At 36.7% G+C, this 16,892-nt stretch overlaps 1 protein-coding gene across 1 annotated transcript in view; it reads left to right on the top strand.

Moving 5' to 3' along the window:
• Nucleotides 1-16,892, top strand: part of PIK3R4 (phosphoinositide-3-kinase regulatory subunit 4) — a 67,896-nt gene that overhangs the window by 29,520 nt on the left and 21,484 nt on the right. Inside the window, exons 9-13 of the mRNA NM_014602.3 lie at nt 711-914; nt 8,818-9,019; nt 10,175-10,362; nt 11,539-11,749; nt 13,422-13,587. Of these exons, the coding sequence (NP_055417.1) occupies nt 711-914; nt 8,818-9,019; nt 10,175-10,362; nt 11,539-11,749; nt 13,422-13,587 (971 nt within the window). The remainder of the gene's footprint in view (nt 1-710; nt 915-8,817; nt 9,020-10,174; nt 10,363-11,538; nt 11,750-13,421; nt 13,588-16,892) is intronic.

Raw genomic sequence — 16,892 nt, 5'->3', positions numbered from 1 at the left:
CTTCATGAATCTTATTTTTCTACAATTTGGATTAGACAAAAGATATCTTTTTATGCTGGTTTCCACTGGCTGACTTCACCAAGGAGTTAAATATATCTAAAGGAAGTCCTCTTGGTTCTTTTGCTAGAGTCACAGAAAAAAAAAAAGAAAAAAAAGAAGATAATCTTCTTGGTTACTTTTAGCAGTACTCATCCATTTTATTTGCATTGACAAGGAATGTATTCCTTTTGGATAATTAAAGGAAAGATTTTATAAACACTATGGAGATAGCAATGTTTTTTAGAAGTGGTTGAATCTACCACGAAAATGTGATAACTGAAGGAAGACCTGTGGCTGTTGAGCATCTTTTCTGGATCAGTACCTGCTGGTTGTCAGACCTGTGAACTGCACATACTTTTTAGATCTAGGACGTTGTCTGACATATTGGGATCTAGAAAAGGCTCTTTTTGTTTTCTAAAATTTCCTGGGTTGGATGATTAGTCTTCCAATGACAGACACACGTGTGGTCTAGCGCTACAATGAAAAGTAAGAGATACCTTAGCTCTTTAAATTTTACTAGTATTCTTTTTTCTTCTACACACTTACAGATGTTGATATCTTATTTTCTTAGAAAATGAATATGTTAACTTTTCTCAAGTTGTATTTATTGAATTTGAAAATAACTGTACATGTTATATTTTTGGCTGATCCTTTTTATTTTTCCAATATAGATTGAAAGAAAACTTGTTCTGCTCAGTGTTTTAAAGGAACCAGTAAGTCGTTCTATATTTGATTATGCTTTGAGGTCTAAAGATATTACTAGCTTGTTCAGACATCTTCACATGCGTCAGAAGAAACGAAATGGTTCTCTTCCCGACTGCCCTCCGCCAGAGGATCCTGCCATAGCACAGCTTCTGAAGAAGTTGCTCTCACAGGTTGTATCACCCTTCCAAAGTCTTACATTTAAATGCGAATTTCATAAAAATATTGAAGTGTCCATTTAGTTTTTTAAAATGTTTTTGATTGATTAGATTACATCATAAAAATGAGTAAGTAAATCTGGCAAACATCTTAGGCATTTGCTTTTGATTCCTAAACAAAGATAATAATAAGATGATGATAAGGTATCAGGTTAAGCTAAATAAGGAATCATGGGAGACCTCTTAAGTTTCTTTTGTAATTACTGGCTAAATAAATGAGGGAAAGACAGTAGAAACAACCTTAGATTTAATTAGTAGTCTTGATTCAGTTCTATGTTTTACCAAAAATGTAATGAAATTTAGCTGGAAGAAACATTGCAAAACACAGATGCAATATAGAAAAATCCTGGTTCATTTCGATCCAAATTTGTAATTAATACTTGTAAACAGCTGAAATAACTTGTATTTAGAATGCATCTTAGGTTTAATAGACCAGCAGTTTACTGGTATATCTTAAAAGCCTATGAATTTGAATCAATTAACAAAATCTTACTACACTTGGCATTGGTAATGCCTCTTTAGAAATATGAATTGTATTCATGACAAAAAGGCCAAAAGCAATTGCAACAAAGGCCAGAATTGACAAATGGATCTAATTAAAGAGGTCTGCACAGCAAAAGAAACCATCATCAGAGTGAACAGGCAGCCTACAGAATGGGAGAAAATTTTTGAAATCTACCCATCTGACAAAGATCTAATATCCAGAATTTACAAGGAACTTAAACATATTTACAAGAAAAAAAAATCCCATCAAAAAGTGGGCAAAGGATATGAATAGACACTTTTCAAAAAAAGACATTTCCATAGCCAACAAACATATGAAAAAAAGCTTAACATCACTCATGATCAGAGAAATGCAAATCAAAACCACAATGAGACACCATCTCATGCCAGTCAGAATGGCAGTTATTAAAAAGTCAGGAAACAGGCCGGGTGCCGTGGTTCAGGCCTATAAACCCAGCACTTTGGGAGGCCGAGGTGGGTGGGTCACCCGAGGTCAGGAATTCCAGACCAGACTGGCCAACATGGTGAAACCCCATCTCTACTAAAAATACAAAAATTAGCCGGACATAGTGTTGTGTGCCTGTAATCCCAGCTACTCGGGAGGCTGAGGCAGGAGAATCGCTTGAACCTGGGAGGCAGAGGTTGCAGTGAGCAAAGATCGCACCGCTGCACTCCAGCCTGGGTGACAGTGAGACTCTGTCTCCAAAAAAAAAAAAAAAAAAAAAGTCGGGAAAAAATAGATCCTGGGGAGGCTGTGGAGAAATAGGAATACTTTTACACTGTCAGTGGGAGTGTAAATTAGTTCAACTGTTGTGGAAGACAGTATGGTGATTCCTCAAGGGTCTAGAACCAGAAATACCATTTGACCCAGCAATCCCGTTACTGGACATATACCCAAAGGAATATAAATCATTCTACTATAAAGACACATGCACATATATGTTTATTGTAGCACTATTTACAATAGCAAAGACATGGAACCAACCCAAATGCCCATCAATGATAGACTGGATGAGAAAATGTGGTACATATACACCATGGAACACTATGCAGCCATAAAAAGGAATGAGAGCATGTCCTTTGCAGGGACATGGATGAAACTGGAAGCCATCATCCTCAGCAAACACAGGAACAGAAAACCAAACACTGCATGTTCTCATTCATAAGTGGGAGCCGAACAGTGAGAACACATGAACATAGGGGGAAACGACACAAACCAGTGCCTGTTGAGGGGTGGGGGGTGAGGGGAGGGAACTTAGAGGATGGGTCAGTAGGTGAAGCAAACCACCATAGCACACGTATATCCATGTAACAAACCTGCACATTCTGCACATGTATCCTGTTTTGCTTTTTAAAGAAAAAACTAATTAAAAAATAAATACATGAAGTCTAGGCCAGGCATGTTGGCTCATGCCTGTAATCCCACCTTGGGAAGCCAAGAAAAAAAGAAATGTTAAATCTAAATGTACATCTTGTTTTATGAGGGGTATGTGGAACTTAGGGAAGCCAAGATAGGAATAAAAATGGTTAAAAATAAAGAATACAGTCGCTGAATATATGCTCTATGAGCCATAATGCAAATTTTAAAAATTTAATTTGATGTGACTTGAATTCCTGGAGAGCTTTTTCTTTGGGTTTTCTTTTAACCTTGGCTTGTACGTTAGATATGTTTTGTATTTTAGAAAGCAATTTGTGGAAAATTGGATTCTGAATCACATTTTTCTGTTGTTTCTCCTGAGTAAGTAATCCTTATCAAAGAGATTTCAATGTGCAGTAAAAATCATCTCAATCTAAGTGTTTCTTCAGCCTTGGCCGTTGTGACTATTTCTGTCTCCCCTACCTATCCTGTATATTAATTTAAAAACCTTCATCCCAGGCCCGGCGCGGTGGCTCATGCCTGTAATCTCAGCACTTTGGGAGGCTGAGGCGGGCAGATCACAAGGTCAGGAGTTTGAGACCAGCCTAGCTGACATGGTGAAACGCTGTCTCTACTAAAAATCCAAAAAATTGGCTGGGCATGGTGGTGGGCACCTGTGGTCCCAGTTACTTGGGAGGCTGAGGCAGGGAAATCGCTTGAACCTGGGAGGCAGAGGTCGCATTGAGCTGAGATCGCGCCATTGCACTCCAACCTGGGTGACAGAGCAAGACTCTATCTCAAGAAAAAACAAAACAAACCTTAATCTTGACATTTTCTTTTCCTTATCAGTCATTAGTTACCTCATGGGGCCACCCTAGCCCCTCATCTCTTCTTTTTACCTTGCTAAGGTATAGGTTTTGACACTGCCATGGGTAAAAGGAAGGAGTGGGAAGGAACAGTTTCCATAGCCTTTCTACTTCCTGCTTCCTACGGTTCTTGTAATCCCTTCTACCACTACTGCTCCTTCAATGCCAGCCCCCGTTACTGGGTGCCATGATAAAAATCACTAAAACTCCCTGACCCGTATTCCTCTGAAATGTTAGTGCTTCGTATATTCATTGGTCTGTCAGTGATCCCCTCATTTGTCTGAGTGGAAAAAGAGGAACAAATAATCCCCCATTTTATGTTATTTCTGGTGCCAGTGGCTTTAGGAGACTCCTAAAGGTTAGGGGACAATCCTCTGTTCAAGAGATAAGCACTGCTAGTAGAAGGGAGAGCAGGCCAGAAACTCTGAGGTTCTTACCAGAAATAACAGCAGAACAACACCAGCTTCCGGTTTTTTGAAAGCCAGCAATGACTTTACCAGAGCAGTTTGTGATTTCCATATTTTTGACTATCCTTAAAACAAATTTGAGCAACAGGTGTTATTCCTATTTTATAGATAAGGGAATGGAGACACAAGGAAGGTAGTTAACTTGCTTATGTTCATATAGTGCAGTAAGTTTCAGAGTTGGCATTTGAATCTAAACCTATCTGATTCCAAAGCCTACACTCCTACACTGTGCTGTGTGGCCTCTAAAGTAAAATAAACAGAGGACAGAGAGCTAAGACCCAGAAGCTGGCTTGGGTTTTATACAGACTTAGGGAGAAGCCCATGTGCAGTTTATCTGCTCCAGCCCCTTACAAGCCTTTTCTCTACCTTCACTTCTTTTTGGTCCCTGTGCTACCTGAGTTTCTTAGGATTACTAGTAGAGACTTGGATCCAGGGGAGGCTTTGGAGATAGGAATTGAGTCCTTGTTTCTTTTTTTTTTTCTTTTTTTAATTGAGATGGAGTTTGTTGTTGCCCAGGCTAGAATGCAATGGTGTGATCTCGGCTCACCACAACCTCCGCCTCCCGGTTTCAAGCGATTCTTCTGTCTCAGCCCCCTGAGTAGCTGGTATTACCGGCATGCACCACCAGGCCTGGCTACTTTTGTATTTTTAGTAGAGACGGGGTTTCTCCATGTTGGTCAGGCTGGTCATGAACTCCCAACCTCAGGTGATCCGCCCGCCTTGGCCTCCCAAAGTGCTGAGATTACAAGCGTGAGCCACCTCGCCCGGCGAGTCCTTGTTTCTAATGTCAGGGCTACAGAGCGAAGGACCATATTTTTAGCTTCTGCAAGCAGGCAATATGAACACTTCTACATAATTTTTTTTTTTTAGCTTAGAGTTCTTCAGTGCTCTTCTATACGGGACTGTACTTGAGACACATCATGGGTAAAGTAGGCCTTTCTAGACCAGCGTAGCATTGTTTCTATGGGAAAATATGTTAGTAGTTCCAGTTAATAGACTTAACATACACTTTTGGAACGTTACCCATATGGGAGTTGGAATCTGTACTCCAGATTTTCAGTAGAACTTAAATCAGGAGATGACTCATGGAAGGGCTGTTTTCATTAGATCCATCTACAATAGCTCCCTGTTTTATTTGTATCCATTTAATCAGGTGCTAATAAATAATACAAAATGATTTCACTCCTTTAAAAAATGAGTTACATTTTTAATGATTTTTTATTTTTGCACTTTTTGACAGATTAGTATAAATACAGGTTTAAAATTCAAAAGCTATAAGAAGATATATAATGCAATGTTAAGATTTTATCTAATCCCTGCCCTCCGGCCAGGGAGTTTCTTTCTCTGTGGATTGTGAATTTTATGTTGGGTGTTGAATTGCTTTGCAGTGTTGGACTTGTTCTGCTGTGCAGTTACTTGGAATCAGTTTCATCCTTTTAAGCTTTGCTTTTAAGCTTTGTTAAGATAGGTTTAGGATAGGTCCAGACCAACCCTTAATTGGTCACTTTAGTCCCACTACTAAGAACTCAGAACATGATGCTTTGTGTATATTAAGAGGTCTTGCACTGTTCCCAACCTTGTGTTGTTCTTTCTATGGCCTCAGGTGGTTTCCTTATGCATACATAGTTTCATATTCAGCCAAAGACTTGAGGAGACCCTTCTGTAGCCCTCTGAAGCTCTCATTCTGTGCAGATCCTCCTTCATTTCTCTGCTCCACAGAGTTAGCCTTTGTAACTTTCTTGAACTCTGATGTGTCTCTTGAAATCAGCTCTGTTTTACTCTATGTTCCTTCTGCCATAGCCTGGCAACTCTCTCTAGACAGTATTGCTGGGACAGTCATAGGACTCAGTTTTAAATATTTTAGGCATTGTAGCCCTGTCTGCCTGTTTTCCCATGCCTGAAAAGTGTGTGTCTGTGTGTGTGTGCGTGCGTGTGTGTGTGTGTGTTTTGTACAGTTTGAAGTTGTTTAAAGTGGAAGGGTAAAACTAGTCTGGTCCCTGTTATTTCATCATGGTCAGAAGCTGAAGTTTGTGGGTATGTTTATGGACTTAACACTAGTACTGCACTTTCTTAGTTACCATAACTTAGGCTTGATCTTTGGTAGAAAAAAACATCTCCCAGCTTGTTTTTTTTTTTTTCTTTCCTTTTCAAGATATTCTTGGCTATCCTTGGTTCTTAACATTTTTTTTTCTTTTTCAAGAGTTTCTTGGCTATCCTTGATTCTTACACATTTTCCATTTTCCAAGTGATTTTTTTCAAGTCAGCTTGTCACTTTATGCAATAAAAATTTACTGATGTATTGATTGAGATTGCATTGAACCTATAGAAGTCAGCTTGTCACTTTTGATTATTTTGAGTGCTATTACAATTGGCATATTAAAACATTATTTTGTTTGTAGCTGGTATATGGAACAATTTTTATATTTCCTTTTATCTGGCAACCTCATAAAATTTATTAATTATAATAATTTGCTAAACATTTTCTTTTGAACTTGTACATTCACAGTTGTATCATGTGTGAACAGTGACTATTTTATTCATTTTTTTCCAATCTGAATACCTTTGTTTTCCTTGCCTTATTTAAATGACTAGGATATTTAGTATAGTATTAAAGGGAGTTGGTGTGAGTGGGCATCCTTGTTTCTCATATCAGAGGGAAAACTCTCGACATTATACCATTCAATGTGATTTTTGCTATTAATTTTTTTTGTACAATCTTTTGAACAGATTAAGGAAATCCTCTTTCTGGAGCTAAGATGATTATTGGAAGAATGTTAAATTTTATCAAATGTCTTTTATCGAGATTATTATATGGTTTTTCTGTTCTGTTAATGTGTTGAAATATGTTGATTGATTTTTCATATTTTAAACTTGCTTTATTCCCTGGATATTTGAAATAAACACAGCTTTGTCATATTGTATCTATATATAAATGTAGTTTTAGAAAATAAATACAATATAAATATATAAAATGTTTTTATATATACTGGATTTGGTTTGCTCACTTTAGTGGATATTTTTTCATTTGCGTTTATGAACAACCTTATCCTATAGTTTTCCTTTCTTGTAATGTTCTTGTCAATTTGTTTTTTCATGGTGCAGTGCTAACATTTTTTGTTTTTTATTGAGATACAATTCACTACCATAAAATTCACTCTTAAAGTGTACAACTTGCTGGTTTTTAATACATTTGCAGAGTTGTGCAAACATCACCACTGTTAAATTCCAGAACATTTTCGTCACCCTGAAAAGAAACCCTGTATCCATTAGCAGTTATTTTCTTTCCCTTAGCCCCTGGCAATCACTAATCTGCTTTCTGTCTCTATGGATTTGCTTAATCTGGACATTTCATATTGATGGAATCATGCAATATGTGGCCTTCTGTGTCTGGCTTCTTTCACTGATCTTAATGTTTTTAAGGTCCCCCTATGTTGTAGCATGTATCAGTATTTCATTACTATTTATAGCCCTTACTGTGGCCCTCCCTTTTGTGGACTAAAACATAGACTAACAAAAAGAGAGCTCTTACTTTAGCTATAAGGTAGCTATTGTCTATTTAAAGCGAATTTTAGGAGGAGACATGAAAATAAACCAAGTATTGCAAGTTAACACTGGGATTTAGTCAAGAATATGTCTATTATTATTGTACTTTAATGCAATTTTATTTCATGTTTTTTAGCTTTGTGCCCTCCTAGGGTTGGTTTTATCATAGTCTGCCTGAGAATTGTGAATATGACTCTAAACTCTAGTGGGATTCTAGATTGAGGCCTCAGGAGAACTGATATTTTATTAAATGAATGTTTTTTATTCCTTTACATGATGAAAATGTACTAGAGGATTCTGTGGATGGTTGGGAAGAAAGACACTCAGAGCTGCCACATTTACCAGAATATTTAAGTTGCCAAGGAATTAATTATTTAGATTGATTACTTAGTATTTGTCCGTTTCAAGTGCACTATTTTAGGTGGATTAACATGTAAATTTCACTATAATCTGATAAGATGGGTGCCAGTAATTATCTTTATAGCTAAATAGAGGTGCACAGATACAGTAAGTAGTAATTAGGGCTGGAATTTGAACCTAGGCAGTCTGACTTCAGCCATTATCCTAGATTGCTACTGGGTTTGTTGCTCACATTTGCAGTTGAGGCAGCATTCCAATCAATCCCTTAGTTGCATGGTATATTTTATATATCGTAGAATGCCTTTACATACTCATTCAATATAAATTTCTCAACACAACCAGGAGCAAAGTTGAAGTAGGTACACTTTCTTTTGCTTAATATTGTACATTCAGAGTTTTGTTCACATAATAAATATTTATTCAACAGTTGTATTTTAAATACTACTAGATATCACACATTGTGTTCTTTGGAAATTCCAAAGATGAGTTATGTGTGAATACTGTCCTTTAGGAAGAAAGTTAAGATATAAATCATGATACAAATTACAAAGTGCCCTAATAGAGTGTTCTGGGAGATCTTAGTCGTGACATGTCATTCTGTATTGTTAACTTTATTTTTCACTTGGACTTGGTTGTTTCACCCTTCTGTCTCTTTTCAGTTTTAAATTGGGTGATTTGTCCCTTCAGTTGTTAGTCATTCTGAGGCTTGTTTTTATTATTTGTGAAAATAAACTAGAACATATGGTTTTATTTGGTTTTAGGGAATGACAGAGGAAGAGGAAGACAAACTTCTGGCACTGAAAGACTTCATGATGAAATCTAATAAAGCAAAGGCCAATATAGTGGACCAGAGCCATCTTCATGATAGTAGTCAGAAAGGTGTAATTGACTTGGCAGCTTTAGGCATAACTGGGAGACAAGTTGATCTTGTTAAAACCAAACAAGAACCAGATGACAAACGGGGTTAGTATGCTTGTTTGTGTGTGTGTAGCTTGTTGTTGTTAGTTATTTCATAAGACTGTTTTTTAGCTAATTAATAATAAAATAAAAAGCCCCATTTCACAGATAAAGAACTTACAAATACAGTGACTCCATTACTTAGCAGGGAGATTTTGGGGAAGAAAAATAGGGAAGCGAACTAACAGTTAAGGAAGTAACTTGCCAGAATCACAGCTCTGTATGTGACAAACCAAGGTCTGATTCCAAAGCTCTACTTTTACAGTAAAATCACGTTGTCACCATGGAGGTGTATGATTGAAGATGAAATTCTGTTTTTTAACCCTTTAACCAGCAACCCAAGAACAATAGTTTGTGTAAAATGGTATCAAGTTTTCTAGTTCATTAGTAGTAGGTAATGCCCAGTGAATTAAAAAGAAAGGTCTTGCTATTAACAATGAAATACAAGAGTAGAGACCAGACAAGACTTAACCATTTGTAGTCTTGAGATCTGAAACTGTGAGCTCTTGTGACATTGACATTGATTATATGAAGTTTTTTAAGATCCTGTGCATACCCTTTTTGCACATATATTCACTGCCAGTTACATGCCTTTAAAATTTCCTCTATTCTAGCATTAGATTTTGAAGGCAGCTAATGAATTACATTTAAAATAAACTTCTAATTGCCAAATTTGAGAAAAAGTATTTGTAACTTAAGTTTTAATGGTTTATATCCATAATATATAAAACATACAAATTAATAAGAAAGCAAGCCAAAAAAAGAAAGATTGAAGGATATGAACAGACAACTGATAGAATAGAATGCATATATATGAAAAGGTAAATAGTTTAATAAATGCAAATTAAAACATGCTATTTTCTTACTATTCACTAGATATAGTGGTTACTTGAAATTGAGCTGGCTTTGGGAAACTAGGAAGTAATTAGGTCTTATTATTAACATCATTGGAAGCACATATGTTCCATCTGCCCTAGAAATGAAGTGAGAGTTAATGAATTGATACATGAATATGAATAAATTAGAAATCTTAAGGAACAAATAGAATATGAAGTGTATTGCTATCCCTGCCTCCTCTACTGTCCCCTCCAAAGGCAATAAAAGCACATAATGGTTTTAAAGGCTACCTTCAGACTAACTATTCTGAATATATTTTCATAGCCAGAAAACATGTAAAACAAGACTCAAATGTAAATGAAGAATGGAAAAGCATGTTTGGGTCACTGGACCCACCAAACATGCCACAGGCCCTACCTAAAGGGAGTGATCAGGAGGTGATTCAGACTGGGAAACCTCCTCGTTCCGAGTCCTCTGCTGGCATTTGTGTCCCTTTGTCAACTTCTTCACAGGTACTGTGTCACCCAGTCAGTAGTCCTCCTAATGTCTTTGAACGCTCTTCTGCTATTTTGGTTGTTTAAAGGCTGTGTACTGTAGTGGAAAAATCAATATGGTGACTTGTCTTTTAGGGAGGTCATATTTCTTTCTAAGACAGGTTTATCTTTAATTTTATGGTGAGGAGGAAATCTAGTTATTGAAAGTACTAAAAAGATCTCATTTTAGAGTACTTGGCAATACAGTGATCTGAGATTGTGGGTTGAAGACATTATTATGAACTGTGATTATAATTAGGCTGCAGTGAACCTTTTAAATCTTTTTTATTCCTCCTCCAGTATAACATAGCCATATCTATAAAATAGCAAAAATACTTCTGGGAAGAAGTCCCAAATTTCCTACGTGTGATAAATGTCATGATGCTTTTTATGTACAGATCATTCCTGACTTAACAATGGTTAGACTTAGGATTTTGTGAGTTTATATGGTGTGAAAGTGATATTCATTCATTAGAAACTGTACTTCCGGTACCCATATAGCCATCCCATTTTTCATGTTCACTACAGATTTCAGTAAGTTACATGAGATATTCAACACTTTATTATAAAATAGGCTTTGTGTTAGATAATTTGCCCAACTGTTGGCTAATGTAAGGTTCTGAGCATGTTTAAGGTAGGCTAGGCTAAGCTGTGATGTTCAGTAGTTGGGTGTATTAAATGCATTTTTGACTTAATGATATTTTCAACTTATGATCTGCTTTTTGGGATGTAATGCCATTGTAAGTCGAGGAGCATCTGTATTTGAAATAAGTTTGTAATTTAAGGCAGCTCTTTCCTAGTCAGTCATATCTTAAATAAAAAACATTAATTGAACCAGATTAATTGAATTGAAATTCCATTTCTTCTTTTCACTTAATGATAATTTTTGTTTAATGTTATTTTCATGCTGATCAGTTTTTTTATATATAAAATGTAGGATTTATATAAAAAATGGAAATGTAGCATTTGTGGTTATACTTCATTTTAACTGGGTTTTCACTAAAAAATGTAATTGTAATTATATCGATTTTAAAATTGGTACATTAATGAGGACAAAAAGCTGTTATAATTTATAGATAAAAACATGCATACACTTCTGTCTTCAAATATACTTTGCTTACGACGTAAATAGTTAGAATTCTATTTGTTTTGTAGGTTCCAGAAGTGACAACTGTCCAAAATAAAAAACCAGTAATACCGGTTTTAAGTAGTACAATCTTACCATCCACCTATCAGATTCGAATTACAACTTGTAAAACTGAACTTCAGCAACTCATCCAGCAAAAGCGGGAGCAGTGCAATGCTGAGAGAATAGCTAAGCAGATGATGGAAAATGCTGAATGGGAGAGTAAACCACCACCACCTGGTAAAAGTTCCGTTGATAAGTAGTTGTAGTCTAGTCTAGGTGCTTAAGGCTAGAATCTAATAGAGGAAATGAATACTTAACTACCAGACAAAAGAGGTAAGAACAAAAATGTTATTTGGGAAACCCAGAAGAAGAAGCAGTAAGTAAGAAATCTTGTCATTATTTGTGGAGTTGGATCTTTTTACAACTGGCAAAGTCATGTTTAGGCCAATCATGTAATAATTTAGCCTATCTGTGCTTCATTTTCCCCATTTATAGTACTAGGTTTTGCCTGTTTAATGCCTTGCCACTTTTTCACTTGAATGTCTGGCTTCTTTGACCAAATTCCTGCTTTTAATTTCTGGAAGGTTTAACATACTTTCATTAATATTATTTAAGAAAAAGTTAGAAAATTTAGAAAATGATGAGTACTTTTTTTAAAAAGAAAACAGGCTGGTTGTGGTGGCTCATGCCTGTAATCCCAGCACTTTGGGAGGCTGAGGTGGACGGATCACTTGAGGTCAGGAGTTCGAGACCAGCTTGGTTAACATGGTGACACCCCATCTCTATGAAAAATATAAAAATTAGCCAGGTGTGGTGGCACACGCCTGTGATCCCAGCTACTCCGGAGGCTAAGGCAAGAGAATTGCTTGAACCTGGGAGGTAGAGGTTGCAGTGAGCTGAGATTATATCACTGCATTCCAGCCTGGGCGACAGAGCAAGACTCTGTCTCAAAAAAATAAATAAATAATAAAGTAAATAAATAAAAAGAAAACAACATCACCTCTAACCCTACGCCTTAACGATGATCAACATTAAAATTTTGAGGAAACAGTTCCATATTCTGTTAAGACTTAAAAGCAATTTAGAGATACTTCAAATGAAAATCTGACTCAACTATCTTAACAGACTTGCCTAGTGTAATGTAGCAGAGTTAGTCTTTGATACTAGATTTGTAGGTTTAAAAATATTTTTTGAGTTTCTGTCTACATTTTAATGATAAAAATTGAAATTGAGAAGATGCATAGTGTGCTTATATATAGATATTTACAAATCATGTGAATTCCTATGGGCTACTGATGTGGACTTGGGGAAAATGCTGGTAAAGGTCAATGATTTAAAGATTTAGAAAGTATAATTAAGTGGCAAGTGGCATCATTAGTTGCATAAATTTTCTTATCAAAATAAATATTTTGGAATTGTTTAATGTTCAAACGGTTTTTGTGATATACCAGCACAACTTTAAAAACAGTGAAAAGTTGATCATAAACTGCTGTATTTTATGATAGAATCTGTCTTTGTAAGTGGTGTATTATACTTAGAGTAACGTATTTTATTTAATAAATCACAGAAAAGATGTCAAATTTTGTAGTTCAGGGATTTCAGAGGTAGCAGGTACCCCTGTGCCTTCATTTTCAGGTAACTGCTGTGCCTTCTCAGATCCTGGAGAAGGGCCCCAGGGGCTGCCTTTCTGAAGCTATTTAAGCAACACTTAATTGCCAAATTGATGTCTCAGTAAATAATATCTGTCATGGTCCAGTAGACCACTCTTTATTGGCAACTATTGGTACTTTCAAATATTTTAGTTCTTATGATTGTTTTCAAGCTGGTTGTTGGTTATTATAACAGGGGATGATGGGGACATTGTATTTGTAAACTACAGTTTATGATACACTCCTTTGCTTTTCCTTAGGATGGCGTCCTAAAGGGCTGTTAGTTGCCCATCTTCATGAGCATAAATCTGCTGTGAATCGAATTAGAGTCTCTGATGAACACTCACTTTTTGCAACATGTTCAAATGATGGCACAGTGAAAATCTGGAACAGTCAAAAGATGGAGGGGAAGACCACCACTACCAGGTACCATATGCTCAGGAATGAATCAGTTCATTAATTCAAATCAACAAATGTTTATTGAGTGTTTACTCTATAATAACCACTGTTTTGGGTACCAGGCATACAGCAACAATAAATGGACAAAAATCCTTCTTCTGTGGAGTTTACCTTCTAGTGGAAAGTGAGAGACAATGAAAGTATAAGTAAAACAGCTAATGTGTTAGATGGTTAAAAAAAATTGTGGTAAAAAATACAGCAGGAAAGGAAGCTAGGAAATGCAGTAGAGGTGGGGTAGGGTAGAATTTTAAATAAATTAACCAGAGAATGCCTCACAGGGAAAATGACATTTGAGGAAGGACTTGAAAAAAGTGAGAGAAAGCCATATGGATATCTTGTGGAAAAACATTCCAGGCAGAGGAAACAGGCATTTCAAAGGCCCTGAGGAAGAAACATGTTTGGCATGGTTGAGGAACAGCAGAAAGGTCTTTGTGGCTGGAGCAAAGTGAGCGAGGTGGAGGAGTAAGAGGGGCCAGTTAGATATGGCTTTGTAGGCTGTTGTAAAGGACTTTGACCTTGACTCTGAGTGAGGTGGGGAGCCTTTGAAGAGTTCCGAGTAGAGGAGAGATGTCATCTGAGTTAGTTGTCAACAGAATTACTCTGGCTGTTATGTTGAGAATAGACTGAAGAGGAGCAGGGCAGAAGCAGTTAGAAGACTATTAAATAATCAGGCAAGAGCTGGTCGCTTGGTAGCAGTATGAGGTGGTGGGAAATGATCAGATCCTGGATATAACAAGATTTGCTGAATGAATGGATTAGATGGAATATGATCATGAAAAAAGTAAAAAAATTATAGAATGGCTAACTGTGTAAGGAAAACAAATAGTGTACCATTGCCACACTCCTGCGGACAAGAAGGATATAATTTATGACTTCAAATCCCTAAGACTTTAAATATGCATGATGTGATTTTAATAAATGTGATTATGATAAATATTTTAGATTTGTACAACTTTATAAGTATGTCCCTATCTGATTTGCAGTTTGTCCTCCCTCTCTTTCTTTCTTTCTCTGTATTGGTTCTACCATATTCTTATTTGTTCTTTGCCTAGTTTGGTCTGAAAAGAAAGCTGCTAGAAATCAGAATTGAATCTCATCTGTGTAAACAGATGTGGAGAATCTCTGGTGCTTTTCTTGTTATAAGTTCATTGACCATAATTAGCCACAAAATCATCAAACAACAAAATATCTTTGATAACTAAAATAATTTAAAAATTTACTTAAGATTTTGTGCCGATTAGCTCTATATTTTTACACCATTCTTAATTATTGTATTTTTCCTCATTCTCTGTTTGTGTTGTATTGGTCAGAACATAATTTAAAAAGAAGTAAAGACTCCTAGGTCCGTGGAGCAATTTTTTTTTGGTCAACATTTTACTATAAAATATTCAAATATGCAAGCAAAGTTGAAAGTGTTTCACAGTGAACATCCATGTACTTGCCACCTAGATTTGTAATGATTTTACTATATTTGCTCTGTTTTATAACTATTCATTTTTCTGCCTCCCATCAATCTATTGTTTAAAATTTTTATTTTTATTTTATTTCTTAGAGACAGGGTCTCTTTTTGCCCAGGCTGGAGTGCAGTGGCCTGATCATAGCTCACTGTAACCTTGCACTCCTGGGTTTCAAGCAATCCTCCCGCCTCAGCCTCTCAGGTAACTAGGACTACAGGCGCATGCCACCACACCCAGCTAATTAAAAAAATTTTTTTTTTTACTTGAGAAATGGGGTCTCGCCACATTGCCCAGGCTGGTCTTGAACTCCTGACTTCAAGTGATCCTACCCTCTCAAGTCTCCCAAAATGCTGGGATACAAGTGTGAGCTACTACCTGGCCCCATTTTTTTTTAATGATTTCAAAATAAGATACAGACATCAGTATGTGCCCTCTAAAAAGTTCAGCATGCGCATCATTAACAGGATTTCAATATTTATAGCTCTTTTTTCTTCTTGATATAAAATTTGTATGCTATGAAGTACACAGATCTTAAATGAACCATTCCATGAGTTCTGACAAATAATACCACTGTATCCTGAATCCCTCTCAAGATGCAAAATTTGACCATCATACCAGGAGGTTCCCTTCTATTCCTTTCTTTTAAATCCCTGCTCTTTCCTTCCCCTGCTACTACCATTCTTTTGATTTTTTCCTAACCATTCTTAGCCTTTTTTTTTTTTTGAGACAGTCTCGCTCTGTTGCCCAGGATGGAGTACAGTGGCACGATCCTGGCTCACTGCAACCACCGCCTCCTGGGTTCAAGTGATTCTCCTGCCTCAGCCTCCAAAGTAGCTGGGACTACAGGCGTGTGCCACCACATCTGGCTAATTTTTGTCTTTTTAGCAGAGAGGGGTTTTGCCATTGTTGGCCAGGTTGGTCTTGAACTCCTGACCTCAAGTGATCCGCCCGCCTCAGCCTCCCAAAGTGCTGAGTTTACGGGTGTGAGCCACCGCACCCAGCCCATTCTTAGCATTTTAATTAGCATTTTAAGTACCTCTTCAGATAATTGTTTTCCAAGTGGTTCTTTGTTATTATCAGTTGGATTCATTGTCCCCTTTATTAGGATGGTAAATTGCAAAAACCCTGCTTGTTAGTTCTCAAGTGATTTTTATTACAGTCATACCTTCTGTATCCCAGTGTCATGCTTTAGACAGTGGTATTTTGGTATCACATTTCAGATAATATCCCCCAAATTTTGGTAATTTAGCTGACTTTATAGAATTTGGGAAGTCTGTATGGTTAGGAGACTGGATCTCCTCTGAATGCAGTTACTCTTTTGCTTTGCTGTAACACCTGCTCTCGTTTGTGGCCAGCCATGGGCCTTGGCTTGGGAAAGAGGGTAAGAAAATGCAGTGTGTCGCCCTTATCACATGCCTTTATTGACTGGTGAGGGGAGAAGGAAGCAATTCTTATTGCCAGAGCCAAGTGGGAAACAGCTGGTGGCAGGGAAAGAACAGCAAAGCTAATGTGTTTTCTTAGGAAATGTTACTAGTACATTCTGACTAAGAGGAGTTTCCCCCATGAGTGATGTTGGCAGACCATTCAGTTCCCAGTCCTGATTTTCTTACTGAATTATGACTGGTGATTTGGACTACCTAGATCTTGGCTCTGCCATTTTCTTTTTTCTTATTTGAGTTAAACTTTCAGTTTGTCTCTTTGGGACTAGTTCTTGAAAAATTGCTGTTTTTCTAAACTTTTGCACAGCTTTTTCAACTTATTTGTTTATAGTATTCTAAATTATATTTTCTATGTTTTCTTCTTGTGCTACCTTAT

Source organism: Homo sapiens, chromosome 3 (assembly GCF_000001405.40).
Source record: "Homo sapiens chromosome 3, GRCh38.p14 Primary Assembly".
NCBI lineage: Eukaryota > Metazoa > Chordata > Mammalia > Primates > Hominidae > Homo > Homo sapiens.
Note: the sequence above shows the minus strand (reverse complement) of the source record. Positions and strands in the feature narration are given on the sequence as shown.